At 48.2% G+C, this 27,829-nt stretch overlaps 3 long non-coding RNA genes across 5 annotated transcripts, besides 1 other annotated feature; 2 read left to right on the forward strand and 1 right to left on the reverse strand.

Moving 5' to 3' along the window:
* The first annotated feature begins 1,693 nt into the window (after positions 1–1,693).
* On the forward strand, positions 1,694–11,428 carry LOC107986001 (uncharacterized). 2 transcript variants are annotated; one of them, XR_001739951.2, is made up of 3 exons: positions 1,694–1,747; positions 6,615–6,732; positions 11,173–11,428. It is a non-coding gene; the product is annotated as an uncharacterized LOC107986001 (long non-coding RNA). The 2 variants fall into 2 exon arrangements; XR_001739950.2 differs by lacking the exon at positions 1,694–1,747 and adding an exon at positions 3,173–3,219.
* Positions 9,198–9,698: an enhancer, noted in NCBI's record as "H3K4me1 hESC enhancer chr2:237509317-237509817 (GRCh37/hg19 assembly coordinates)". NCBI's record gives its function as "activates a minimal SCP1, AML or CMV promoter by ChIP-STARR-seq in primed H9 embryonic stem cells {active_cell/tissue: H9 hESC(primed)}" and the evidence as "EXISTENCE:reporter gene assay evidence [ECO:0000049][PMID:30033119]".
* Positions 11,429–11,527: 99 nt separating the features above from the next.
* LOC105373946 (uncharacterized) lies at positions 11,528–12,641 on the reverse strand. The gene is made up of 3 exons (XR_924019.2): positions 12,467–12,641; positions 12,014–12,274; positions 11,528–11,755 (listed from the first exon to the last, which is right to left on the reverse strand). It is a non-coding gene; the product is annotated as an uncharacterized LOC105373946 (long non-coding RNA).
* Positions 12,642–12,717: 76 nt separating this feature from the next.
* On the forward strand, positions 12,718–17,881 carry LOC105373947 (uncharacterized). 2 transcript variants are annotated; one of them, XR_924021.2, is made up of 4 exons: positions 12,718–13,242; positions 15,142–15,263; positions 15,849–16,168; positions 17,648–17,881. It is a non-coding gene; the product is annotated as an uncharacterized LOC105373947 (long non-coding RNA). The 2 variants fall into 2 exon arrangements; XR_924020.2 differs by having other exon boundaries at positions 15,142–16,168.
* Positions 17,882–27,829: the final 9,948 nt, after the last annotated feature.

Below are 27,829 nucleotides of genomic sequence, written 5' to 3' on the forward strand. Positions count from 1 at the left end.
ATTGTTTTGGGGGACACTATTCAACCCACTCCAGGGACATTTCTGTCCACTAACAGGTGGACACATAGGTGTGGGCACTGTCAGACCTACACACAGGTGTGTGCACTGTCAGCCCTACATATAGGAGTGCACGCTGTTAACCCTATATGTAGGTGTGAGCACTGTCAGAACTACACACAGATGTGTGCACTGTCAGCCCTACTCTACACACAGGTGTACACACTGTTAGCCCTACACACAGATGTGCACACTGTCAGCCCTACACATAGGCATGTGCGCTGTTAGCCCTACACACAGGTATGCACACTGTCAGCCCTGCCTCCTTCCACGCAGGGCCTTGCTTCACGCTGGGCCACCCAAGCTTTCCCTCTTCCTCTCTTTTCCTGTTTCCTTCTTCTGTTTTCTGTGTTTCACATTAGGGCTTTTCTCAAATAGCTACTGATCTTTGGCGATGGAGTCACATTTTACGATGAGGACTAGAAGCCCGGCTGGAAGCTCTGTGCTGAGCTGGGCTTGGTGACCAGTGAATTTCACTGAGGTCTCCAGATGTCCCCCTGTGGTCTCCCTGGATGTTAGTGGTTGAGGGGCCTTCTTCTCGGGCTGGCCTATTTTTCCGGAGAAAAATTGTTCAATGTCCCTGGAAGTATCAACCTGAGAAGGGGCCTGGGAGGGGCATGGAGGAGCCGCAGCATCCAGCGTGTATCCTTCACATAGTTGCCCTATTTTTAGGCTTTGCCGTGTGCCCCCCATCGCCGGTGCCTGGTGTCCCGAAGCCCAGAGCCTCCGGTCTGCTTTCCTCATGGGGTGAACTTAGGTCTTCTGCCCAGGCAGGTGGGGCGAGCTTCTGACTGTTTGAAGTGAGGATGAGATATAGGGTCTTATATCCGACCAGGGTTTTTGAGATCATAATGCTTTTAATCTCACCCAGTGGGGTGTTGGTAGGTGTTTACATCTTGGGTTTCGTGGCACAAATAGGTTTGTTTCTTGCTGGTTTCTCCCTCTCTGGCCTTCTTTCATTATGGTTTTGGAAGATGACAGAAAGCAAAAGGTGAGAGGAAAAGGCAAATACACACACACACGTCTCTGTACGTGTTGTTTCTAGTTGTTGATTGTTATTTTCTCTGCTGCCACGATCATGAGGTTTTGGAAAAGAAAGCCAGTTATTTGCTGTTATGGGTCATATTCTGAGTATGAAACTTTCCTTGTTCAAATGGGCATCTCCTGAGTGGACCCCGACTGAGGGGTGATGGGAGATAAGCAATGCAGTCGGTCTGTGTTTACCAGGAAGCTGGAGCAATTTCCTTATGGGTTCACCTTCTCCACGCAGGCCAGTCCTCCCTGTCATTGACCACCGGGGCTGCCGCCTTCATCCTGTCTCTCTCGTGTCTCCTCGTCAGTTTGTCTCTGACCTCGTCTTGTCCATCCAAGTCACCCTTCACACGAAGGCTGGAGTAGTTCTCCCGAAAGTGCAGCACTGATGGCTTCAGTGTGCCCCTGCCCTACCAGCCGGCACAAGGTCAACACTCCTCTCATGCTTTGTCGGCTTTGTGAAGCGAGCTGTTAAGCCTCAGTCAACACCCCAGAGTGTGGCCAGTAGTGCACACGTGACATCATTAAACATAAAGATCATGTTTCTGACCCACAGTGGCGAAAGCGAGAAAGGATAAGGAAGCACTTCCTTTAGCAATAACAACTACGGAATGGCAAAAATGACCCAGCCTCCAGAGAGGACAGCTTGACATTTTGGGTGATTTTATGGGTGTATATGTGTGTGTGTGGTGTGTTGTATGTTGTGTTGCATGTGGAGTGTGTATATGTGCGTGTGTGTGTTGTGTTGTGTGTACGTGGTGTGTTGTGTGTGGGGTGTATGTATATGTGTGTGTATGGGGTGTGAGTCCATAGTGTGTGTATTTTGTGTTGTGTGTGTGGTGTGTGTATAGGTGTGTGAATCGGGTGTCTGTCTATAGTGTGTGTGTTGTGCTGTGTGTGGGGTGTGTGCATATGAGCGTATGTGTATATATGTGTGTATGGAGTGTGTGTATTGTGTGTGGCATGTATATGTGTGTGTGTGTGCAGTGTGTTGTGATGAGCATATGTATTTTGCGTATGTGGTGTGTATATGTGTGTTGTGTGTGTGCAGTATGTTGTGATGGGTGTGTGTATTGTGTGTGGTGTGTAGATATATGTGTGTGTGTATAGTGTGTTGTGGTGGGTGTGTGTTTTGTGTTGTGTGTGTGGTGTGTATATGTGTGTATGCAGCCTGCTGTGTTGGGTGTGTGTATTGTGTGTGTAGTGTGTATATGTGTGTGTGTGCAGTGTGTTGTGGGTGTGTGTATTGTGTTGTGTGTGTGGTCTGCATATATATGTGTGTGTACAGTGTGTTGTGTGCGGGTGTGTGCATTGTGTTGTGTGTGTTGTGTATATGTGTGTGCAGTGTGTTGTGTGTGGGTGTGTGTATTGTGTGTGTGATGTGTATATGTATGTGTGTATGTGCAGTGTGTTGTGGTGGGTGTGTGTATTGTGTGGTGTGTATGTGTGTGTAGTGTGTTGTGTGTGGGTGTATTGTGTGTGCAGAGTGTATATGTATGTGTGTGTGTGCAGTGTGTTGTGGTGGGTGTATGTATTGTGTTTGTGTTATTTATGTGTGTGTGTATTGTGTTGTGTGTATATGTATGTGTGTGTGCAGTGTGGTGTGGTGGGTGTGTGTATTGTGTGTGGTGTGTATGTGTGTGCAGTGTGTTGTGTAGAGGTGTGTGTATTGTGTGTGTGGTGTGTATATGTATGTGTGTGCAGTGTGTTGTGTAGGGGTGTGTGTATTGTGTGTGTGGTGTGTATATGTATGTGTGTGCTTAGCATGTTTGTGTGTGTGTGTGTTTGCATGTGCATGTGCACACACGTGTCAAGTGGTTGGCACTCAACGTTTTGGAGGTAGCACACTGTTGAGTTGCAAGGCTAACTGCTACACTTTTGCCAGTGATGTGTGGAGTGCTGCTGTGTCCTGATGTCCTGGCTCTGACGCTGAAAGCGGGCACAGCATCTCTGATGCGATCTCGGCTCACTGCAAACTCCGTATCCCGGGTTCAAGTGATTCTCCTCCCTCAGCCTCCTGAGTAGCGGGGATTACAAGTGCATGCCACCATGCTCGACTAATTTTTGTAATTTTAGTAGAGACGGGATTTTGCCATGTTGACCACGGTGGTCTTGAACTCCCGACCTCAGGTAATCCACCTGGCTTGGCCTCCCAAAGTGCTGGGATTACAGGCATGAGCCACCACACCCGGACCAGTAACAGGTGTTTAAAATTGCTTTTCAGGAACTAGGGGGCAGCTCTTGTCCAGTTCAAGCCATTTGAACCCACCAGCCCACCTGCGGGGGTGCTGGAAGAGTGACCTTTTGATATCAGAGGGCCAAGAACTCCACCCTCTGATTATGGGCCTGTGGCCATTTTCTGCACATCTCATGTGAAGAGCCACGTGGCTCATTTCCACTTGTGCAGATGCCCAAATTACCTCACTTTTCCTACCTGCCAGCCACCTTTCCCCACACTTTAGACCACCTGCTTTCTATCCTGTAAATATCCCTAAGCTCTATTTTCCTGGAGGCAGATTTGAGATTTGTTCTCCCATCTCCTCGCATGGTAGCCTTGTGAATAAAATCTTTTCTCTTTTGCAAAACCCATCACCAGAGTGATTGGCCTGCTGTGCACAGGCATAACACACCTAGCCAGTAACAGGTGCAGGTCAACGTTATTTTATAGAGAAAAAACAGATGCAGCACGGGCAGGTGACTTGCTTGCAGTCTGCAGGGGATAGTGTTAGGATTGTTCTTGGGGTAAGGGGTTTCCGCTGAGTTAAACTTCTAGCAGTACTCCCTGAGAAAGAGTGCTTTGTAGACAAATATGTGTAAGAAATGCTGCATTGCATTGTGGGAAATTCCCAATGCATCCTGGGCACATCTCAACCTCTGAGGAGTCCTGGAATAAAGCCTTTCAGCGTCCTTGACCATGGAGCCCTTTCATTGTAGAACATTCCAACTGGCCCGCAGAGCTCGTTTAGCCTGTTGTGCTAATATTGAACATGGCAGGGTCTCCAAGGCAGCAAGGAGACCCAACTGAGAAGGTTTTGAAACAAAAGAGATCCCTCAGGGTCTACCCGTGGAGCGTTTGGTGTAGGAGCTCTGGGGTAGGCCCCACAATGCGTGCTCTTTAAAATTTTCCAGGTGACTCTGATTATCATTCAGGTTAGAATGAGGACTCAGGTTCCACAGAGTCTAAGAGTTGAGTTTGGTTTTTCTTAAGTCTGAGCTTCCCAGAGGCAAACCAAATAGAGAGGTCAGTAATGGTGCAAATCCATCTTAGGCCTACCCTGTGGGTGAACATCTTGGGAAACATGATCTTAAGAGAGACCCTGATGGAGCATGCCTTTCAAGGGTTGTAAGAGATGGCTGTAGGGAAAGTCGCATGACGACAGTGCCTTGCATTGAGTGCAACGGAAAACATTTGCTCCAGAGGCACCTACCTGTACTGTTAAATAAGTAAGTCTTTTGTGGGGGGAGAGGGGGAGGATATGGTTTCTTCTGTGAATGTGTATTTATCCCTGGCTTGGGTGGCATCCAGGCAAATTATTATAATGCATGTCCACCCATCCCAAAAAATGTGTTCAACATAACATGGAAAAATTAAGTCATAGGAGACATATGAGATGTGTGTGAACCAATTTAAAACCACTCTAGGAAGAGCCTGAGGTTATGGATTACAACTGATCCGCAAGGTACCTTTTTGTAATGGAGAGGCAATTAGGCCTGTACAACTGGCTCCACTAAGGAGAGCCAGAGCAGGAGGAAATTCCGTGTGAACTGTGGAGCTCAGCTGCCTCCAATCTCATGTGATGACGCCATTATGTAGGACAGAGGGACCTGCAAAAAATGAAGATGTCCAACACTTGTGGAGCCTCATTACAATGAGTGGCTGTCAACAGCTTCTTAGAAAGACGGTTCCTAACAAACACCCTGGAGAGGCAGACCCTGCCGTAAATGCCCAGGAGGTGAGCCAGGTTGGCATCCTAAGGTCTTAGGAATCTTGCAGCGGTTAAGCTTGGCTACAGAAAAGAATCTGAAAATCAGTTGAATAAGTTACCTTTAAGTAACCATATCTCATCTTCAAGTTAAGTTACAAGGTTGTTAAAAGGTCTCAAAATCTTTCTTAGTTCACTGAGCATTTCCTTGTATGGAAGACTCAGGAGTTTCCTAAGAATGCTTTGCATATGTGCATTATTTTTTACCTGCCCACTCCACTACCAAGGTACCTGCAGGAGGCAGAGAGAAAGGGCTGGTCTTGGAGGTCTTAAGATAAACAAATAACGTGCAAAAAGATGGTAAAGAAATTGAGTTTTGGGTTCAAGTCCACCTGGGTTTTAGTTCTGACTCCCCCTCTGTGTGAGTTTGAAAAAGTTATTTTAATACCTCGGAGCTTTGGTTTCCACATCTAAAATAATTTGGGGATAGTCGCGTATCTTCTTCACGGGCTGGCTTTGAGGATTAAATCAGATAGCGTGGGTAAAGCGTATGGCATAGTGCCTGGTAACCTTGTGCACTCAAGGTAGGGTAATTCTTACCAGCAGATGCTTAGAAGTTATTTGTCTCTCTGGGCTCTGTAGCACTTTGACTTGCCTTCTTTTACCACACCTCTCTCCAACTAGAGTGAGCCTGAACTGGGAACCAGATTGTCCCTGTACACCCAGTTTTCAGCAGCTCGCCGACTCTTTGCCAAGTACTCAAGGCATAGTTGTTGAATGAATCAATGAATGAATGAGCAAAAGTCAGAGCTTCTAAGCCCTAAGCTCTTTGCGTTGCCTTGTGCTGCCTTTAGAGTTAATGCAGTGATAACAAACACTGTGAAAGCTGGAACATGATCGATTTAAACTGATTAAACAATTGTCTCACACTCCATCGTCAATAGATACATTCCAAAATTATTACAGAGAGAGAGCTAGAGTCCACCAACCCTCATCTTATCAGGAGACATCCTTGGAATCGGTCCTCTCACGATGTCAGATCATTTCCTGCTCAGTGCCCTGAAAACTGAGCTAGCGAATAGTATATGGATTTTCTTTTCTTTTTTCTGTGAAAGAAAAATAATTATCTCTATGGGCTTTTACTTATAAAGTAGTATCAGACCACAAAGTGAAAAGAAAAAAAAATGAAAAGGTGACTATGTTCTTGGTACAAAAGCAGGCGCTCCTGGCAGTCTTGGCTTGAGCTCTGGGTATTTTGAAGCTCCAGGAATGCCACCAGACTGGCCCACTGGACACAGCTGATTGGAAGTCCCTTATGTGGACCTCGGACTGGCTGGTTTTGAAGTCACTGCCACCATCCGGGGTGACTCCAGATAAAGAAATTCGCCTATGCAGACTCCACATCAGGAAACCAGTGGATATTCTGAGACAGTCAGCCCAGCTGCCAAGAGTAAAACATAGCCCTGCCAGAACTCCAAATCCAATTTACAAAAGAATTTTCTTCTTTCTTCCCCCTTTTTCAAGTTATAGTTTGGGCATCAGTCATTGAGTTGTTGGTTTCAAGAGCAGATACACCTGATGAAATATAGATTTGTTTTACAGAATTCTCCAAAGCCTGAAGTCATCCAAAGGCCAAATAAGATTGCATGCCAGGAGTGATATCTGAAAGTAGAAAATAGAACCTTTGGTGTTCCAGTCAAAATGAAGGGAAGATGAGAAGGTAGGTTTAACATCAAGCAAATTACACCAGCTTTTCAACTTTGAGGCTCACTTTTCCCCTCCTTTCTTTCTGATAGCTAGATTTGGTCTTAAAAGATTACCATAAGATTGTTAAACTGACAATTCATTATTTTTTCCTGACAGTGCATAAAAATAGTATGGATTGCCTTATGGGTAGAAAGTTGTTCTTAGAAGCTGGATCCCTGGGATAAAGACAGTCTTCTAGAAAGGCTGGAAAAACCAAACCATGTGGCTCGTTTTTGGTGTTAAATCCTGAAATATCTGAAATGAGGTACTGTTTTTAGGAGAGGCCAGAGGGACTTTGTGAAGATCCTTTACTGGGGAGGCCAAGCTTCCTGCTGTAGTTGTAATCTCAAAGCATTGCTTTGCTGTAAAAGACGGTCATTTCTGTAATAAGTTCTTCTCTTATATTTAGCGCCTACTTTCAGTCACTTGATCTAGCTAATGCCTATCTATTTGCATACTCAGCAGTGTTTTGTTAGGTTCTCTATGGTTAGTGTCTCATTGCATCATATTCCAGGAAAAGTGCTCCTTGAGGAGGTACCTTCAGTACCCCTGTATCTCCAGGTTCTAGCACAGGGCCTATCCCTTTCAACACAGTAGGATTAACAGAGGCTCTTGCACCTAATAAGCAATTGAATGGATGCAGGGAGATGATGGCTGTTTTTGTTAACCCCTCCCTTAGTTAGGAAACATACAGACAGAGGGGACCCATTTGGGTTTTAATTCAGTTCCAAGAAACTGCCCAGCCTGAGAAGATAAGGACCACTGGGGTCCGTTCTGGCTTTGAGCTACCGATGAAGTGTGTGTCATTCCATTTTGGGAACTGTTTCTCGGATGTCCCTGGCTGCGGGGTGAACCCCTGGACCCATCCTCAGTGGATCCCACCATCTTGGATCTGCACTGCCAGGATCTTGCTAAGCCCAGACTCTCATTCTGGACTTCCCTGGAATGGACTTCCCAGGGTACAGACTGGTTTTGGAAGCAAGGACTGCCGGCCCCAGGAAGCTGGCTCCTCTGCCTGCCAACTGCAGCCTGCTTCTCTCTCTGGCACATTCTGGTGCAGAGATGGTGACAGGGTTTGGGAACCAGACATACCTAGATTAAAATTCTTGCTCTGCACAAGTGACTCGGCTTCTCAGACAGAGACTTGATTCTCTCTGCTAGAACGTGGACCCCATACAAGTATCTGTCTCCAAGGGTGCTCTGCAAATTCATGGAGATGGTCCTATAAACCCCTTCTACACTGCTGTGCATGGTGTACTTGTCCCATTAGCTCTGGTTACCCTGGGCTCCTTGCTGGTCTGCCTTTTTCGTTTTTAGCCTTGCTCTATTGTTTGACATTATGGTGAAAAGAGGATTGAGAACGTGCGTGAGAAAGCTTTTGACACACAGGTGAATGCCTGGTGCCCCTCACAGGCGCCTACATACCAGAGGGGCTGGGAGAATGGTTATCAAATGAGCCAACTGATAAGCTCAATTTCACCATTGGCAAATGTGGCAGATTTAACTTTATCCAGACAGCACATTGCATTGTAGTCTTCTTGGTTATCTTAAAGAATCCTTTCTGTGTCGCTACTCTTCAATTTTTATTTTTTTTATTTCCTTAATTAATTTTTATTTTTAAGTGCCGGGGTACATGTGCAGGATGTGCAGGTTTGTTACATAGGTAAACGTGTGCCATGGTGGTTTGCTGCACCTCTCACCTCATCACTTAGGTAGTAAGCCCAGCATTCATTAGCTATTTATCCCGATGTTCTCCCTCCCCTCACTCCCCACCCTGACAGGCCCCAGTGTGTGTTGCTCCCCTCCCCATGTCCCTGTGTTCTCATTGTTCAGCTCCCACTTATAGGTGAGAACATGCGGGTTGTCACTCTTTTAATATAGATTTTTCAGAGGTCTTTGTTCTTACATTCCAAAGGTGAAGTTCTTTTCTATTTTAATAGTCCTCTGCCATTTGTTTCTAAAACCACACCCTGTGGTTACATGCATACTGTTTGAGGAATTCACGTGTTTCCAAACATTTGTAAAAGTGGGGAAAATAAATAGCAAGTTTACAGCCCCACCTGCACTGACAACTTGCATAACCCCCTGTCTGAGCCCGGGCCTGTGTAAGTGATGGTCACGCACCGTTCCCTAAAGTCACTTAACTCAGGATTGTTGGAATAGCATGATGTCAAAGAGACGGGGTTCCAGTTTGGTTTATCAGTCCCCGAGGGCTACCTGAAGGAGGTGGAATTCCTCTAGGACCAGAATCAGAATCTACTCCATATGCTCACCTGAGCGACTTTTTGACCTGACTGTCCCTGGACACCAGTTTGTCCACTGCTTGTCCGGCAACCTCGGGGATGGCCGAGAAGAGATGGGAACCAAGTTGCTTTGGCAACGCCAGGACAGGGAAGAATGTGGATCTCATTTGTGGGTTCTCCAGCCTCTGCTACACTTTTCACATAAAAGGAGATGGAGGAAGGCAGTGGAAGCAACAAACGGCAGACCGAGTCCTCCTCCTCTTACGTCTTCGGGTCCTCATGCAGTGCCCAGGACACAGGAGGACCCACACACATTTCCTGAATTTAGGAAGGAATGAATGAGTCCTGTGCCCTTTGTGGTAACAAAGATACTTCACTCATTCAGACCCAGCTGATTGTTTCATGCATGTTCATGAAACTCCCATAAATTTGGCCAAGACTTACCATGTCTATCCTTAGGGCAGACTGGGTTTTTGAAAGCAACTATCTGTGGGTTCCTTTAATGAAAACGAAAAAACATAAATCGTGCCAAGACACACAAGTGACAGCTCCGGGGAAGCGAGGCTCCTCTCTAATTACCTGCAGGAGCAGGTGGTGGTGGTGAGTGCTGAGTGTGGATAGATATGTAAACAGTATCAGTCATCACAACAAAACCTGTGTCATCACGGCGCACCCTCCCACGTCCCAGGAGTGAAGCGTCATGAGGACATTGCTTCCAATGGGCGATGGGAAAGCTTCCAATCCAGCCTCTGCCTGGTTCTCCCAACTCTCACCTCCACCTCCAGTACCTGGCATGTAACTTTCAGGAGAAGAGATAAACATGAAATATTATTTTGAATGGTATTTTCCCACTAAGAACAAAACTCACAAACCAAAGCTACTTTTGTTTGTCTAGCTTCACAGCTCATGAAGGACTTTAGCTATGCTACTAAATACTCTGTATGGAATGACTCCATTAATCATGAAACCCCGCTCTTCATGCTGATGTTGTAATTGATTTTTACCCGCAGGGGCCAAAGCGGGCTTTGGATGTTGCTTTAGTAAGAGAAACCTCACATGATGTTTGGCTAGAGAGAATTGCTGTTTTGGTCACCTGTGTATGGGTTGACCAGCTTTTTGCCCTCTGAAAGCATCATCTGGGAATACTCACTCTACTGAGATAAGATAACACTCAGACTTCAAGAGATAAGGCTAACTTCGTAGATTTTGAAACAAAGTTGTTTTTCAAAATCCCCAAGTGACATCATAACCACTCCTTTAAAATAAAAGCTCTTACTTCCGAAATGGCAATATTTAATAAAGTTTCTCTGAATGACTTTGTCAATTAGGTTTGAGTAAATGGAAAAAAATAGAGCACTAAGGGATTATACATGAAAAATTTATAGATCGGTAGTTGGATGGGTTTCCCCTATGACATAGCTGCTGAGCTGGAATGGTGAGGACATAGAACCATGAGAGCAGGGAACCACCAGGGCATGGAACCATGAGGGCAGGGAACCACCAGGGCGTGGAACCATGAGGGCAGGGAACCACCAGGGCGTGGGAACCATGAGGGCAGGGAACCACCAGGGCGTGGAACCATGAGGGCAGGGAACCACCAGGGCGTGGAACCATGAGAACAGGGAACCACGAGGGCGTGGAACCAGTAGGGCCCAGACTCCGTGGCTCCTGTGGCTGGCAGCCCCAAGCTGACACTGGCTGAGCCCACAGCCAGCCTAAACAAGGAGTTAACACATATTTTTTGGTTAATCCAAGAAGAATATTGTACAAGGTAGGTTTTTATGAATCCTGTTAATTTTATTGAGAAACACATGGCAGGCCACCTGGTCTCCTGGCAGCTGGAGATTTACAACAACTGGCGGTTGGCATTGGAAGGCAGAGCAGTCTCTTGCATGGTGTAAACCACAGTTCAGACCCCATGGCTGGGTTTCTAGTACTTTCTTAAAAGGGATGGTCTACCACTTGATCTAATTTGTGTGGGCCTTTCCATTGCTGGCACAAATGCAGGTATGCCAACATTTGTTTTTCCTCTATACTTAGAATTCTTTTGTGTGGCTGTTTACAAGACAATTCCTTTTGCCTTTATTCTTGCATCTGCATGTATACTGATGGTGGAAATTTTATGGAACTTTGAAGAGTTTAAAATGTTTTTGTTTTGTTCTTGGCCTAAGGTGTTCAAGAGATGACATTGCATAGTGTCACAGAGAGGACTGAATTGAGAGTTGGGGGGTCTGGGCTGAGCACCTCTGCCTGGACCCCAGGGGAAGCACATCCCAGCTTGCTTTTCTATCACATGTGTGGGGAACACAGCTCCCCATCCATGGATCTCCAGAATTCATAAGAAGAAGCCTCATGGGCATGGAGGCAAACTACCAAGTTTCCAAAAATTCATTTGTCATCAATAAAATGAGCGAAGAATTTAGTGGATGATGCAAGTGTGACTGACTATTTTTCTACAGACATGCAATTCCTTTAGGGACTCCTTTATGGACTATCCGTACCTTAGTAAGCCCCAGGAGAGAGCAAATGGCTTGTTACTGAGTTTAATTAGTCAACAGGCATCTTATCCCCCCTAAGGGATTTCTTTAAAACGTCGGAAGACGGATCCAGTGATACTTTAAAATGCCATGAAAATATCACGCCTGCAACATCTCTAGGACAGATCTCTTCAGCACATCTGGAAAGGTGTTAAAAATTTCAGAAAGCTGCTCCCTCTTCATAGGAGCACAAGGTACTTGGAGGGCGCTGTGACCTCTGTCAATGGAGAAAAGAGCTGGCAGGTTAGAAAATAGCCACACACTGCAGAGCTCACACTTCAGCATCACTTGCACCCCTAAAAATGCCCACGACATTAGTTACCCAGCAACTCCGAGGCAAGCGGCCAATTACCCCCTTGCATCATTAAGTTTCTAATGACTTCAGACTGTTCCTTTGCCTGGATAAGCCTTACGTTTTCCTGCCTCCAGCCTTGCTGGTCCCAGCTACCTGAGGTGCTCCCTGGCGCACACTGACCTCACTTTCCCTAGCCATCTGTATTGTATGCCGTGTCCAATATGGTAGCCAAGCGCCTCCTGTGGTTATTTAAATTTAAATTCTTTTTAAAAATTCAGTTTCCCAGTTGCACGAGCCAGGATTAAAGTGTGGCCAGGGCCGTCCCGTTGGGCAGCACAGATGATGGCGCATTTCCTTCCTTGCAGAAGGTCTAGTGGACGGTGCTGTGAAGCCCCAGCCCTGGGTTTACACAAGCAGCTCCTCACTCCCACTGATTCCAGGCTGGAGAAAAATCACATGACGTGTAGACTGGTGCCAATCAAGCGGGTGGATTTTCATCTGGGCAGAGCCCTTAGGCACTTGGCGACTGCACCCTTCTTCAGAAACCTCCTCCCTTCCCTGCCAGATGTCCCCAGCTCTCCCCTGGCTCCTCAAGCTCCCCCTCCAGCCCCCACCCGCTAGCTCAAACCCTACCTCTGAATGCAGATGACCTTGGAGAAAGCAGGGAGGAAGGACGGGCTCGCCTAGGCTTTCTTCCAGCACCCCCACCACAAAACTCATCTCCCCTTCTCTTCCCAGGAAGCCTTCCCCTCCTGCCACTCCCACCCAGTCAGGCACCTTGTCCTCCCCTGTTCTGTCTAAACATGCTGGTCAGCCTGTGTACCCCACCCCTCTCCTTAATTTCCCGTTGTAACAAAGTGCCCCAAGCTGGTACTTTCAAACAATAGAAATTGATTGTCTCAAAGTTCTAGAAGCTGGAAGTCCAAGGTCAAGGAGCCAGCAGAGCTGTGCTCGTGCTGGAGGCACTGGGAGCATCTGTTGCAGGCCTTTCTCTGGGTGCCTGGTGTCACTGGTCATCCTTGGCACTTCTTTGCTGGCCAAGGATGCATCACTGTGACCCTCGTCTTTACAGGGCTTCACGCTGTGTCTGTCCACGCGCGGATGTCGTCTTGTAAGGACACCAGCCACACCGATGAGAGGCCATCTTCCTCCACTTTGACCTCATCTTAACTAATTACATCTGCAACTGTCCTATTTCCAAATAAGGTCACGTTCTAGGGTAGCGGAGAGTAGGACTTCAACACAGCTTTTTTTGAGGGAAGACGCAATTCAACCCACAGCTCCCCCAAATGCGTTATTCACTCTGTTCTGTGCCCTGTGGCATGACCCTGTGGCCTGCCCTCTTTGCTGTGCTCTGGTGCTTTAGCCTCGGTTAGAATTCCTGCAGGAGTTTCCCAGGAGACCAGAAGGTGAGATGAGACAGCATCGGGCCATTTCTCTCCAGCCCTCCCTGCACAGTGTTGTGGTTCCAGCAGGCAGCACCAGCGCCCCGCACAGCTTCCATGAGGCACCTCCCCTTCCACTGCTCCAATTCTCACCACACGTGGGTGTCTCCGTTTCCCCCTCATCCCCCAGGCCTGGATGTTTAATGACATTGTCCTTAGGTATCTCAGGGCCCCTTCTGCTTCCCTAGGGCTGCCCACCATTCTCTCCATCACCCCCTCATTGAATTCTCTCCACGATCTCAGCTGAGTATGCCTTTTGTTTTATGCTGGGATCTTGTTGGTGACAACGCATTCCAGCCACAGACGAGCTACTTCCCCTCTTCTGTAGCAGCGGGCTGAGGCTTCTCGTATAACACACACGCTCTTTACCAAACGCAAAGCGAAACAACATCTAAAAATCTTCCCTGGATCCTTTGTCCCTTGACCCCACCAGCACTGCTGCCTCCCCCGTTCCTGTCCTTCGTCCACGCCTCCTGCGGCACCATGTGCTCTTGCTGTGTCCACAGGCTGAACTGCTGTTCGCTCCTTCCAGCCACACAACCTGGCTTTGTCCCTGTTCCTCTGTGGAAACAGCCCTTGCTTTTTGCTCATGAGTGGCCACATCACGTACTCTTCACCATAAGTGTCTATTCCTGGTGCTCCATGGACGTGGCTACCTCTCTCCTGGGTCTCCAGCAGCGGATCCTTCTCTGTAGCCTTTGATTTCCCTTTTGTCCTCGCCCACAACTTCCTTGGTTGTCCTCCGGCGATGCATTCCTCTGCTAGGGCGGCTGTAGCCGAGTATCATGGCCGGGGCGGCTCACATAGCGGAAATGGATTTTTCTCACAGTTCTGGAGGGTGGATGTGCAAGATCAAGGAGTCGGCAGATTCAATTCCTTCTGAGCTCTTTTTCCGTGGCTTGCAGATGGCCTTCTCTCTTCTGTGTCCTCACAAGGTCTGTGTGCAGACATCCCTGGTGTCTCTCTGTGTGTCCAAATCCCCTCTTTGTATAAAGACACCAGTCAGATTGGATTAGGGACCCCCCCAACAGCCTCGTCAAACTATAAGATGAAACTTATAGAATGTCAGGGTTCTGTATCAGCCAGCCCAGGCTGCCAGAGCAAAGCACCACAGACCGATGGCTTAAAACAAAGAAATTTATTTCTCCCAGTTCTGGATGCTGGGAGTCCCAGCTCGAGGTTTGGTTCCTCCTGAGGCCTCTCTCCTTGTCTTGTAGTTGGAGGCCCCACTCTTGTTTCTTCATTTACCCTTATTACCTTTTCAAAGGTCCTATCTCCAAACTCAGCGACATTCTGAGATACTAGGGGTTGAGGCTTCAGCATATGAATTTTGGGGGTGGGGGCACAATTCCGCCCATAACGTGTCCTTAACATGTGTTGGGCCTCCATGGGCCAGGCAGCTCCCTGCTTGGCGCGTCCAGTCCAGATCTCTTGTCTGAGACCTGTTCCCTGTTCCCATCTGCTCTCTGGACGGCTTCATGGCAACGCTCAGGAGCTCAGGCAAACTGGCCTGCTCACACCAACCACCTTTTCTCCAGCTGCCCCCACGTGTTCTCCTGTCTTCCCACCGTGTGAACGGACTCCATCATTCTCTGTTACCCAAGCCAGAAACCTGGGGGCCTGGGAGTCCTCCTCCCTCTCTGTCCTGCTAGCCCAGCCCATCCCCAGGGGCTCACAGATGGTTTTTTGTCCATGTCTCACGCCCACCTTGGTTTAGGGCTCACTGTGTTCACCTTCCTGCTGGCCCTGTGCCCTCCAGATTCACCCTCCTCCACAATGCCACCAGAGTGGCTTTTCCCAAAGGCAGATTTGAACATCTCACATCTAGATTTCAATTCCTCAAGGATGTCTCTTCACTTTCAGGAACAAGCTCAAACTTCGTTGTAGTCTTTTCTGCAACTACCTTTGCTGAGAAGACGTGCTCTCCTCCCTCTCTGCCACATGCCTGCTCACAGTACAGTTACTGGTTGGCTTGCTCCTTTTCGGTGAGACCCCATTCCCCCTAAGGGCTTCCACTGTGCTCTTGAACATGTGCTCTCTGGGATCTCCCACAGGTTTAACCAGTGTCTGATGTAGTCGGTTCTCAGGAGAAGTTTGATAAATGCATGAACCTGCTTTGCCCTGACAAGTAGGACCTTCCAGCCTCACCCCAGATCCACTGGTCCTCAGCCTGATCATGGACATTGGATGGCGTCCCCATCTGCCTCCTGCCAGTGGAGCGGAGACACTCCTCTTGGACCCTGCTTCCTGCGCTGGCTGGAGAAGGAGGACCAACAGCCCTGGCACCAAGGGCACCTTTTCTGAGACTGGCTTTCCTGACACAAGGGGCACCGCTCTGCTTTTGTGTCTGCACCCTTCGGAGATGGCCTCTGACCATCCCTGGGCTTCTGGGGTGGTGCCTGGCCAGGCTTAGCACAGTGTCCCGTGTAAAGCCCAGACCCGCAGCAGTCCCCTTCCTGGCAAGAGTGAGGTCTGCTCTTTTGACCTTGACTGCACCTCCCTAAACATATCCTAGAGTCCCTCTCAGGGAGCACTTGGGGCTCCGTCTTCACTTATTCATGTCTTTTTAGGCGCCGCAGCACGCACCCCACAACACGGTCAGCACAACCTTGTCCCTTGGCCCTGTGGGACTCGTGGCCTGGACCCATTGTCTGCTCACTTTCTTGGAATGTGGCCTCAGGCCCTGGCTTCCTGGGCCCTTTTCTAAAGAGGACCCTTCCTTCGTCCCTCTAAGATCCTCCCCTCACACTCCATGGCTTTGGGCTGTCTTATCAGCTGGGGCTGCCATAACAAAGAACCACAGACCAAGGGTTAAACAACAGGCATTCATTTTCTCACGGTTCTGGAGGCTGGAAGTGCATGACCAAGGTGCTAGCAAATGTGGTTTCTGGTGAGTATTCTCTTCTGGGTGTGTAGACAGCTGCCTTCTCTCTGTGTCCTCACATAGCCTTTCTGCTCTGTGTGTGTGTGTGTGTGTGTGTGTGGAGCAGGGTGGACTTGTGGTTCCTTCCTCTTCCTCTAGGGACACCAGTTCCAAGGACCCCACCTTTAGGACCTCATTTGACCTTAATTACTTCCCTAATTACTCCATCTCTAAGACACCTTCACACTGGGGTTTAGGGCTTTAACACGTGAATCTTGGGAGGACACAATTCAGTCCATAGCAGGGATGGGGTGCTCAGGGATTGTGGAGGGGGCCTCCCAGGGGGGTGTGCTGGGCGGGGACTCAGCTCTGCCACTTCTTGGCTGTGTGACCTCAGCCAAGCCCATGGACCTGCCTGACCTGCTGAACGGCGTGCTCCAGCCTCCTGGGGCTGGGGTAGTGAGAGATACAGACAGGCTTTACAGCGAGCAGCAAAGTGCCTTTCCCACGTGAAGAATGGGAGCATAGGCCACTTCATTTGTGAAAGTGAACCTTGATGACAACACGGTGGAAATGAGGTGAAATCACCAGAAAAACAGATTTGTTGCTGCAATAACATTTCTTTCAAGAAAACTTTGTCCCTAGAGGTAGAGCCTGGTTGTTGACATTCAAATACCTTCACATTTCTGAACATGGTTCTTTTTCTCCTATGTGACTAGAAGCTTAATAACATTACTGTCTAATGAATACCAGATGCGAGACCTGGAATGCCAGGGCTGCGGGCTGGTCCTAGACGCTCCTTGGTGTGTTTGTCTCACATGGTACCTGACCTGACATTTCTGCAAGCTAAACAGGAGATAAAAACCTCAGGCTTTAACTATTTCTTTCAAAGCTCATAGGCTTCATGAATAGGTGTCACCGCTGTTGCTAGTCCTTACAATCATTTACCAAGTCTTCTAGCAGAAATTGTAGGCCTCCGAGAAGCTAACCCACATGGAGGGGCTACGCCATATCTGTAGGCTGGTTTGTTTTACATTTTCCTTTCTAGAATAATCTCAAAAGATGCAAAAACCTCCCTTTCTTATCAAGTCCTGTTAGAAGAATGTCAGGTCTGCAATGCATGATTCTGTCATGTTGTAATAGTTTTATGTATAGTGTGTGATATAACATCCAATCATCCAGAATGGTGTGAGACCATTGAACAGGTAGGACCTTCCAGCTCATCTGGAAGACCCAGTCAAAAGATTGTGAAGTATGGCTAAGGTCAAGCATAAAATGATCTGGCTAATAGAAATTACAGAAATGAATGGAATTTCAAAACTGTGGTGGCTGCCTGAAATTTTACAGAGGATTCCAGGCTGGATCCTGGGCTGGGCTCAATTTTAAGGGAGCAGATCCCGTGGAGGGGAGCCTCAGTTTCCTTGTCCGTCAATAGGGTAGACTGTATCAGCTCAATGGAGCTACAAGATTTTTGAGATACGTAATCTTTTCTTTGGGTGCAATTAGACGCAGACAAAAGTTGAAGAACCCTGAGGCACTGCTCTAGCCACGGTGTAAAAGCATTGAGCCAGCTCATATGGAAGACCCAGTCAAGTCACCAGTATCTGCATTTGTGCTTGTTAACGTTCGTGGCTCAGGAGGCCTACCTTCTGATTAAGTGTTCTCATGTAAAATCATCCAAATACTCCCTATTAATTTTATTTTGATATATGGATGAATAATAAAAGATTATATCTCCATGTCATTTAGTTGAATTTGTTGATTCATTGAAATAATAATGCAGGCAATGGTTAATGAGTCAATAACGCTGTGACAAGTGGCATCTCCAAGGATGTTGGCAATCTGCCTTCTGCTCCCCATGCTCTTCCTCAACATGGCTTTGTCACCCCTCCAATAAGTAGAGTCCTTGTCCCTTCAGCCACCGTCGGTGGGAGTCCTTGTCAGTTCTTTTTCATATCTTTTCAGGCACTGCAGCATGCACCCATGGTGACACCAATATGTTCCAACCCAGCTACAGAATTTCCCTTCTTCTTCTGTAAGATAATTCAACAGGAACTTGTAAGGATGGAAGGGGGATGGAGTCCATAGGCCCAAACCATCTCCTTAAAATGCAAGACTCAGCTGAGTTACAGCTGATCCCCACCACTCAAATTACCTATTTACTTTCTCACTTTTGCTTGGTCCTTTTGTTTTTGTTTGTTTGTTTGTTTGGTTTTTTTTTTTTTTTTTGAGATGGAGTCTCACTCTGTCACCCAGGCTGGAGTGCAGTGGCTCAAACTCGGCTCAGTACAAGCTCCGCCTCCCAAGTTCATGCCATTGTCCTGCCTCAGCCTCCCAAGTAGCTGGGACTACAGGTGCCCGCCACCACGCCCAGCTAATTTTTTGTATTTTTAGTAGAGACGGTGTTTCACCACATTAGCCAGGATGGTCTTGATCTCCTGACCTCGTGATCCGCCTCCCTCAGCCTCCCAAAGTGCTGGGATTACAGGCGTGAGCCACCACGCCTGGCCTGTTTTTGTTTTCAAATCAGGTTATTGTATATATTTTTAAACCACATTGGATATATTGCAGCAGAGTTGGGGAATTAAACAAATAATGAATGATGAAATCAAAATTGCTCCCCATTTTTGTAGGACTAAATTTTCAAAATAAAACAAAGTTTTTAAATGATAGCTCCTTGGTGAAATATCACTAAACAAGAGAGGGGTCTTGGAAGCAGGTGGGAAAGGCCTGTGATATGGCAGGCGATGTGGACATGCTGATGTTGAAGAGACTTGGGTATTGAGTTGTGCTGTTCTGATCGCCAACAGACCCTACAGAGCGGTGGCCTCGAGGGAGACAGCCTCAACTCACTGGGTTCTTCCCCTGTGGGGAGGGCTTTTGTCAGTCATCTCTCATGGTCGCGGCCACCTTGCAAGACAGGGCCCCTGTGATCTCTCATACAACAAGGCAGGCGGGTGATGCCCTGGCCCCGCAGCATGGGTCTCCTCCATCCCTAGGCCTTGTTTTCTTTATGATAGAGTAGGATGGATTTTCTTTTTGATGTCACATGGTAGGAATTAGAAAGAGACGGTTTGTGACTGGCTGATGAAGATAAAGAAATACAGAGTCTTTATTCATAGCTGGCACTCTTCTAAGTGCCTTTTATATTAATGCATGCAAATCATAAAAGCAGGAAAGCAACTCCTACACCATGATGGCACACCAAGCACCCATGTGGCTTAATGTAGAAAGGCGGAGAGCAACGTGGCTGTTCGGGAATTTAGGGGTTAGCTGTATACCATATATACTTTAAAAAAAAATCACAAGTCATCAAGCAAACCATATATACTTTTTAAAAAAGAAAATAGTTTCCAGGTCCAGATTCATGTTCTTGTAAGTGGAACGCACCCAAAGGGTGCACAAGTGGAATCCATTGACCACCATGATCTTCAAAGGGGCAAATTTAGGACCATGAGGTCAAAGGGCTTTCTTCAGGTCACCAGCAGCTGCAGGAGTACTTGGAAAGTGAAGCTCCACAATGTGTTGGTCGTGACAATACAGAAGCGAGGGGGAAAGCCATGCTTTGGACAGAGAGTGGCAGGGACAGCTGCAACCAGAATGCCTCATGGGGGCATGGGATGGGGAAAAGCAGCCTATGCAAAATGCACCATTCAGGAGCATCTGCTTTCTCTCAGGACCTGGAGTGAGCATTGGGGTTCTTCAAGAAAGAAATCCTCATGTGTATTAGTTCCATAAATGTTTCATTAAAACAATGTCATGTTGATAGTGAGTCTCTGACGCTGGACTTGGTTCAAAGACAGTGGAGTGTGCATGGAAGTTTAGTCATACCTATCAGCCCTTTGAAAATAATCCTTGCTAATGCTTCAGTCTCGTGATGTAAGCTCAGTGGAATTACAGTTTAACTGTTCAAAATTATATAACTAATTGCATTCAGCTTCAGTAACAATTATTAATCAGCCCAAACCTTCTAGCTTGCTTCTTGCTGGTGGAGGGTTGAAGTGAACTAATCAGGTCCAAATTTATTTTGCTAACAATCTCAGATGAGCTGTGCCCTGGGGCCAGGGAGGCTTCGCGTTGCATGCTCAGACCCAGGGCAAGTCATGAGGGCTGGAGGCTGTGCTTTGAGGTTATGAAGGTCAATGTGATATTGAGTTAGACGAGCTCTTATGAAGTTGGGTCATTCACTTGGGTCAATCTGTTGGAATGAAGCTGGCTGAGCAGAAATATTTACAGGTCAGGAATGAAAAAAATCATCATTAAAATCTTCGATGTGCACAGCCGGTGTGGTTTATCTGTCGTTGTTCACTTTGCCATTTAGTCCAGTAGGTTCAGCTCGAAATCCTTTTAACACAGTGGTCACAGAAGCTACTGCCAAACAGCTGGAGTTGGCCCAGAAAGGGAAACTCACTGGCCATCTTAGCTCTCAGGGACCAGCGCTCAGGAAGCCTGAAGCTGTGGGGTCTCACATTGGGTCAGATGTGGGGGTCGGGTGGGGTCAGACAACCTGGTCATTGCCTGCTGAGAGGGTCAGAGCCTGGGCTTGGGAGAACGTGAGGTTGAAGCTCGTCGCTATTTAACTGTGTGTCTGACCATAATGGCCACGGGCTGAAGTCCCCTTGTTGTTAGCCTGCAAATCCCCCAAGGGCCAGGATTGTACCTGGTTCACCCACACTCAGCTGCATTGCCTTGCATATGGTGAAGGGGTGTCAGAAGTGCTTTTTTGTGAATGCGCTGGAACAGGATGCTCCGAAGAGAATGGGTGAACAGCTCACTCCTTGGAAAGCAAAAAATGATTGATCTTTAGTTGCTAATGTTTAGGTTCTCTTTTATGAGAAGGTTAATTTGGGAAAAACAATTGCTTTCTGCTATGAACAGTCCTGTGCACAGAAGCTAAGGAACTACTCACCCACCATCTTTCAAAGTGCCCTCCCTACAGAGGGCCTGGCCAGCACCAGGGGAATGTCTGCTGCTCAGCTTTTCGTGAATCCTGGAAACACCCAGGCCCCTGAAAGCACCCCCAGAGGGCTTCTGTCTTATGGATCAATTACATGCATTGGAGAAAAACCCTCTAACTGCTACCTTTTTGAGTCTTTATTCCCCTGAGGGTAAGTGGAGGTTAGTACCGACCCCAACCTGACTTACACAGGGAGTCCCGTGAAACCTCGGGGGTTACTCGCCCGGGATTTCCTACCTGACCTTCAGGCAGGGCTTATTCAGCCTGTCTGGCGTGCCCAGCTGGCTTGGGCTTGCCCTCCTGCCCATTTTCTACTTTGTCCATCCAGCACCTGGCTCGGAAGACAAAGGGCTCATGACTGCTCCCTACCTGGCGGTCTTTAAAACAACTGTTCTGACTTGAAAGCTTTTTGGAATCCCGCCCCAGCCCTCTGGACTCTCCCGCCCTCCTCCCTCTGCTCCATGTGTGCAGGACAGAAAGCTGACCTTCTGCCTAGCAGAAGTCTGTTCTGCTCTCTGAAGGGGCAGCTGTGCCTAGAGGCTTTTTGGTGGGGGTTGCAGGCCTCATGGATTATTGAACCCTGGGCCGGTCCCATGCAGTCTCACCTGGCTTGAAGCAGAACCCCTCAGCTCTTTTGTCTTGGGGTCCCTTTGCAGCTCCAGTGTGTGTCAGCTTCCTCCCTGCCACCTTTGCGTACATCCATGGAACAGTGGGAATCAAGGAAAAGCAGGAAGGCTGGTGGTGACGTTTTCCAATTGGTCAAGTTCCCCACTAGTACTGTCTTCCTTCGAGCTAAGATTACCAAGACCCACAGGGCAGCAGCCACCCCTTCCTAGGGATTGAAGAGATTACCCAGGCGTCAGGCAACTCTGGGCTGCCAGGCCCTCCCTGGTCAGAAGAGCTCTCTATTACAGGTTACCCTCCCCCACAGGACCCAGAACACTGCCCTTATTGTAGGGTGTGCATGGGAGCATGCAGGGGTGGTGGGCAAGCTGAGCTGGATGGAGGAGGGACTCGATGCCTGGGAGGGCCTGTCTCCAGCTCTGTGTCCAGTACTTGATGTTTGCTCATTTAGCCTTTCTTCCCATGATCACCCGTGCACAGATGAGGAGGCTGAGCTGGTCTGAGCATGGCCGGTCCATGGTGGGCTAGGCTGGGAGGCAGTCCCTCCCCTCCCACCTTGGAGGCTCTCCTCAGCTGACCCAAAGCCCTGGGAGTCTCCCATCTGGCTGTGGCCACATTGCCCCTTCTCCACGCTGACTGCAAGCTCTCTGATTCTGTCATTCCATCTGCTGGGTTGTGATTTCTCTTGAAGTCCTTCCAAGGTTGGCGTTGGCTGAGGCCACCAAATGAACATCTCCCTGCCAGAGGCACATTTTACATGGCAGCCAAAGTCAGGCTGTTGGAAACACATGCTTCTTTTTTAAATGAAAACAAAAATTACCACCTTTTAAAAAAGAGAATATTACGTTGACTACTTTAACCTTTGGTTTTACTCAAAACAGAGTTTTTGTGTATGGAAATCGTGTGTGCAGCAGTCTGTCGGGGCTGGGGGGGACCGCTGCTGATTCCTGCCCAAGTCCTTCCGAAAGTCAGCTCGGTCCACAGGGTTCAGGATGTGAGCACCAGGCCTGGGTGAAACTGATCATGTATTGTACTTAGCCACTCTTCCTTGGCTCCACAGTCACCTAAATGTGATGTCCTCGGAGTTTATCCAAAGCACCATTATATGAATGACCACGTTTGGAGCATCTGCCTGTTTTTGTAATACTGCAACCCAAAACTCTCGAAGTCTGTCATTGCTGTCTGCATCATCCAAGCCACGGGGCATGCAGGCTTTCTGCAGTGCAGCCTTATAAGAAAGGTCCCTCTGGCAGCTGCTTCCCTTCACTGGAGGACAGGAGCTGTGGAGTCATGAAGTCCTCATGGTGCCACAGCTGCCAGAGAGCTTGGAGCTAAGTTCTGTACTTTGATCCAGGTTGTTTATCTCACCTTAGGTTTTCTGGTAAAAATATTTGTCACCCCCACCTTATTCTCTGAGTCTTGTCTTTGTATTCCTGCTTCCGTGGTTTTCAGATTTATTGCAACTTTCTTAGTGTAAATTGCCCCAGACTTTCTCTGGAAATAGACCACTTTCTTCCCCATCTGCTGTGCAGGCTGGCAGATGGCTGAGGCCGACCTGCCATGGGGGAATTGAGTGTGTAAGGAGAGACGGGCCAGGCCTGGAAGAGCAGACCTGGGCTCACCTGACTTCACCTCTGTGAGCCTGTTTTCTCATCTGGGAAAAAGGAATAACCACACCAGGGCCTGGTGGAAACGGGAGACAAGGCTTTAAATTGCCAAGCCCTGGCACGCAATAGACTTCAGTAATGTTTGTGTCCTTCTTCTGAGTGGCTTTGGGGGTGGTCCACTCAGGGTCGCCCTCCTGGGTGGCTGAGCAGCCTAGTCACGGGCTTCCACTCAGAAGGGCCTGCACTTGGGGTTCAGGGCTCTGCGGTCACTGTCTGGAAGTCCTTCATGGTTTTATCTTTGCGTTTGTGTTTAGTAAGGGAAGTCGATGGGCCATTCAAGCATGTGCTGGGAACTGAGGTCCCTGCTGCTTCCCTGCAGCTGCCTGTGCCCCACCTGTGCCCGACACCCACTGCAGGCCACCTCTGACTCCAGGAGGGCCAAGATGGGCACAGGTGCCTTTGGAGGTCTATAGCTGCCTTGCATCCTGTGCCCAAGGGAGAGTGACTTCAATAGCAAATCACTACCATGGCAGGTTGGGAGAAAGGCCGTGGAAGAGAGGAGGAAGCATTTTCAACAAGACAGCTGGCATCTCCATTTTGCACTGGGTCCTGCAAATTATGCCGCCCACTTTGGGTCTGCTGGTCTCTCTGAGGGTACCGGAGCCTGTGTGTGGATCAGTCTTGGAAAGGTTTCATGTAACCAGGGTCCCTGACTTCATTCTCTAATGAGGGAGGAAAGGAATGGTGGTGTACAGTGCTCATTTTTGATGGCTGCTATAACCAAGTATTACAAACCGGATGGCTTAAAATGACAAAATGTGTTCTGTCGCTGCTCTGGAAAGACTAGAAGCTCAAAGTCAAGAGCCCGCTCCCCACTGGAAGTGTGGAAGAAAGAGACCCTCCTTGACTCTTCCTGGCTTCTGGTGGTTGCCAGGAATCCTTCATGTCCCTTGGACTGAAGGACTTGGACTGCACAGGTCAGTCTCTGTCTCTTTTGTCACCTGATGTCCTCCGCTTGCTTGTCTCTGTTTCTTCTCTTCTTTGAAGACCACTGATCATATTGGATTCAAGGCCTACCCTGATCCCATAGGATCTCAATCTAACTTGATTACATCTGTTGAAACCCTGTTTCCAAATAAGGTCACATTTGTAGTTTCTGGGTGCACTTGGAACTTTTGGGAACACTGTTCAACACAGTACAGATGGTCTTGGCAGGAATTACCCTGTGTGGTTCCTGAGGAAGACCCAACGAGAGCTGTTGGAGGGGCTCTGCCTCAGTGTCTCGGACAGGCTGTGCTCAGTGACCTCCACCAACCGCTTCCCTGGGATGGAATTTAGAAAGCACATGTTGGTCAAAGGACCGTGACGCTGAATGGTGGCTGACAGTGACTCAGGAAATGCAAATGAGTAGCTCCAAAGAGGCCTAGAGCAGTGAGCTGGACACTGCCTGCAGGCACCCATGACTGCAGGAGGCACCCACATGTGCCAAATTTTGCATGGGTTTCATTCATTCTTGTTTCCATTCCACACATATGTATTGGATGCCTACGGTGTTCCAGGCACTGTGCTAGGTACAGGGATGAGAAATGAGTCTGACACAGGAAGGAGTGTTCTGAAGACAGGAAGACCCATGAAGGCCCCAGGAGCAGTGTCCTTGGAGCTGAGCGTGGGAGGAGGAGCCACGTCTGGTGGACAGGCACGTGGCTGTGCAGAGCACATTCCAGAGAGACCACTGTGTGGGCCACGCCAAGGTGGTGGAACCACACAGACCTCAGCATGTGGCACATGGGTCTGCATGTGGATGAATGGTGGGAGACGCATCCCGGAAAGGAACCGGGGAGACCAATTTCAGCAAATGATTACAGAGACTTCAAGGAAGCACCACTAGTTACAGAAGATATTCGGAAACAACCACGATGTTCATCAGGAAGAGAAAAACTAGACAAACAGAAGGGCATCCACACAACAAAATGCTCTGCCGCCAGGAACATGAGCTAAGTAAGTTGATATACACAGATGAGGAAGGAAAGCCCACACCATCTGTTGACTGGAATAACCAAATTACAGAACAATATGCGGCATGTGAGCATGTGTATGTAAAAAGACCCAACCAAATATATATTTTGAAGGTATTTCCATGCAGATATTTTCCATAATAGCTTCACGTGTGTACATGCCTAAGAGACCCAGGAAGATAGACCACAAATTGTTATTAGTGGTTATTTCTGGGTAGTAGGAGGATTATAACAGAGATAAATGTGGGAAATGTACTTATGTTTCACATAAAGACTGTAGTCATCTCTTTATTCCTTAAGCTGTAACCGAAGTGTGAGCAAACTATGACATCGGCCAAAAAGAGGGAGAGTGTGCTTCTGAGGATGGAGGTGGAGGTTGGGATGTTTCACAGGCGGCTTGTGAATACCAGGCCCTCTTCCAGATCACCATCCCCTAATTATATATTGGTGGTTTGCTTCCAGTCCTCCCAAACTTATCTTTCTAGTTATACCGTCCTTTGTCTCCAATAAATGGCATGCTCCTAATTACTGATATCTGTTTTCTGTGGGGAAGATTAGCATGTGCTTTGGGCATCCAGCTGCAGTTCCTAGAACCAATAAGGAAGACTTCACTAATCTTTGTCGGAGGCCAGCATCCTGATTACCATGTGCTTTGCCTCCATGCCTCTTCGTGGGATCCCTCTGGGAGGGTTTTGCCTGGTGCCCTAATGCTAGTGGAATCTCACACCAAGGGCCGGGGTCTGGGCCTCTAGATAGGTGAGGGTGAGGAACGCCTTAACCAGTGCTTTCTTAGGAAGAAGCCAGTGCTGTCTTGAACGGAAAAGCAATGAGGGTGGTGGCAGGCTCCAGATTGTAGGACCTTGGAATGTGTGTCTAGTGGCCCCTAGAAGAGCAGACTTGGAATCAGGAGACATGGGCTAGAAGTGATCTGCATAGAGATCACTGTTGAGGTTTTCACTTCAACTAAGAAACAGAAGAAATACTTTCCTGACGACATAAAGCTGAGAGGTCTGTGAACAGCTTGCATGACATTATTGGCGGGGAGAACTAGATCCTATCTAAAGGATGGAGTTTTGTAAGGAAAATGTACTTGCCCTCCAAAACCAACTGCACGGACACAAGGAAGGTGTGTCTGCGTGTGGCGAGTGTGGAGGAGGCTGGGGATTCTGGAGGACGATGAGGCGGGTTCAGCTGTGGGGCGAGGGACTCAGCTGCAGGCTGGTTCACAAAGGCAAAGGCTGTGGGATGAGCTGCAGAGGAAGCCCCTGGACTCCTGCAGTCCTCAAGGGGTAGATCGCTTTCTCGGAAGTGGTTGGAAGGAGAAGTTTCCAAAGAGTCCTATTGAAAGACTAGACAACCAGAGAAGTCTAGGGATGAAACGGGCTTCCTTGGAGTGTAGTGAGCTCCCTGTCGCCGGATGTGTGCAAGCAAATCTCAAAACAGGGAGGTGAGTCCCACGGGGCAGGAGCTGTGTGTTGTTTTCGCCTCCAGTCCCAGCAGTGGCACCAGGCAGGACTCTGACAGGTGCTCCATAATGGTTGCCCAATCAATGAATTAATGAATATTATTAATCTGGAGAAATATTAGACACCCTGGAATGTTCCTTCCAGGCCTGATGTCTGCAGCACCATGAAATCCCCACTTGAGGGAAGAGGCCTGAGTGAGTTTCCTGTGCCTGCTCTAACACCTTACTGCACATTCTGTGGGTTAAAGGCACACACGTGTTCTCTCACAGTGCTGGAGGCCGGAAGTCTGAAATCAGTTTCACTGGGCTAAAGTTAAGGTGCAGGCAGTGCTGGTTCCCTCTGGAGGCTTCTAGTGGAGAATCCGCTTTCTTGCCTGTTTTGGCTTTAAGAGGCCACCGCGTTCATCAGCTTCTGCTCCTTCCTCCGTCTCCATAGGACATCGCTCCAATCTCTGCACTCTTCAATATATTGCTTTCTCTTTTTCTGTGGCCATATCTCTCACTCCTCATTCTTAGAAGGACACTGGTGATTACATTTAGTGCCTACGTAAATAATCTAGGATAATCTCTTCATTTTAACATCCTTAATCACATCTGCAAAGTCCCCCTTTACAAAGAAACATTCACATTCTGGAGATCAGGACGTGAGCATCTTTTTGTTGGGGAGCAGATGGGACATTATTCAGCTTAACCCTAGGCAGAAGAGAATAAGATTGGAAATGGGTTATTGAAGGCACCTCCATGTCTAGGGAAAAAAGTGGAACTAGAAAAGGAAGAAGCCATAGCATCGAGAGGCTCCAGGACCACGTGGGGACCAGCTACCCAGGGAGGAGAGTTGGAAGGAGAAGGGGTGGCCAGCGTGCAGACAGATCGGGGCGTGGCTGCCTCTTTCAGTGCAGGATACTCAGTGCTGAAGATGGTGCCTGGCGCGTACAGTAGGTGCTCAGTAAGTGTTGAGTGAATGAATGATTGAACAGTAGGTGAGGATGTTGCTACCTGCTGTAGAGAGACTATGTTGGT

The sequence above is a fragment of the Homo sapiens genome, chromosome 2, assembly GCF_000001405.40.
Source record: "Homo sapiens chromosome 2, GRCh38.p14 Primary Assembly".
In the NCBI taxonomy this organism is placed as follows: domain Eukaryota; kingdom Metazoa; phylum Chordata; class Mammalia; order Primates; family Hominidae; genus Homo; species Homo sapiens.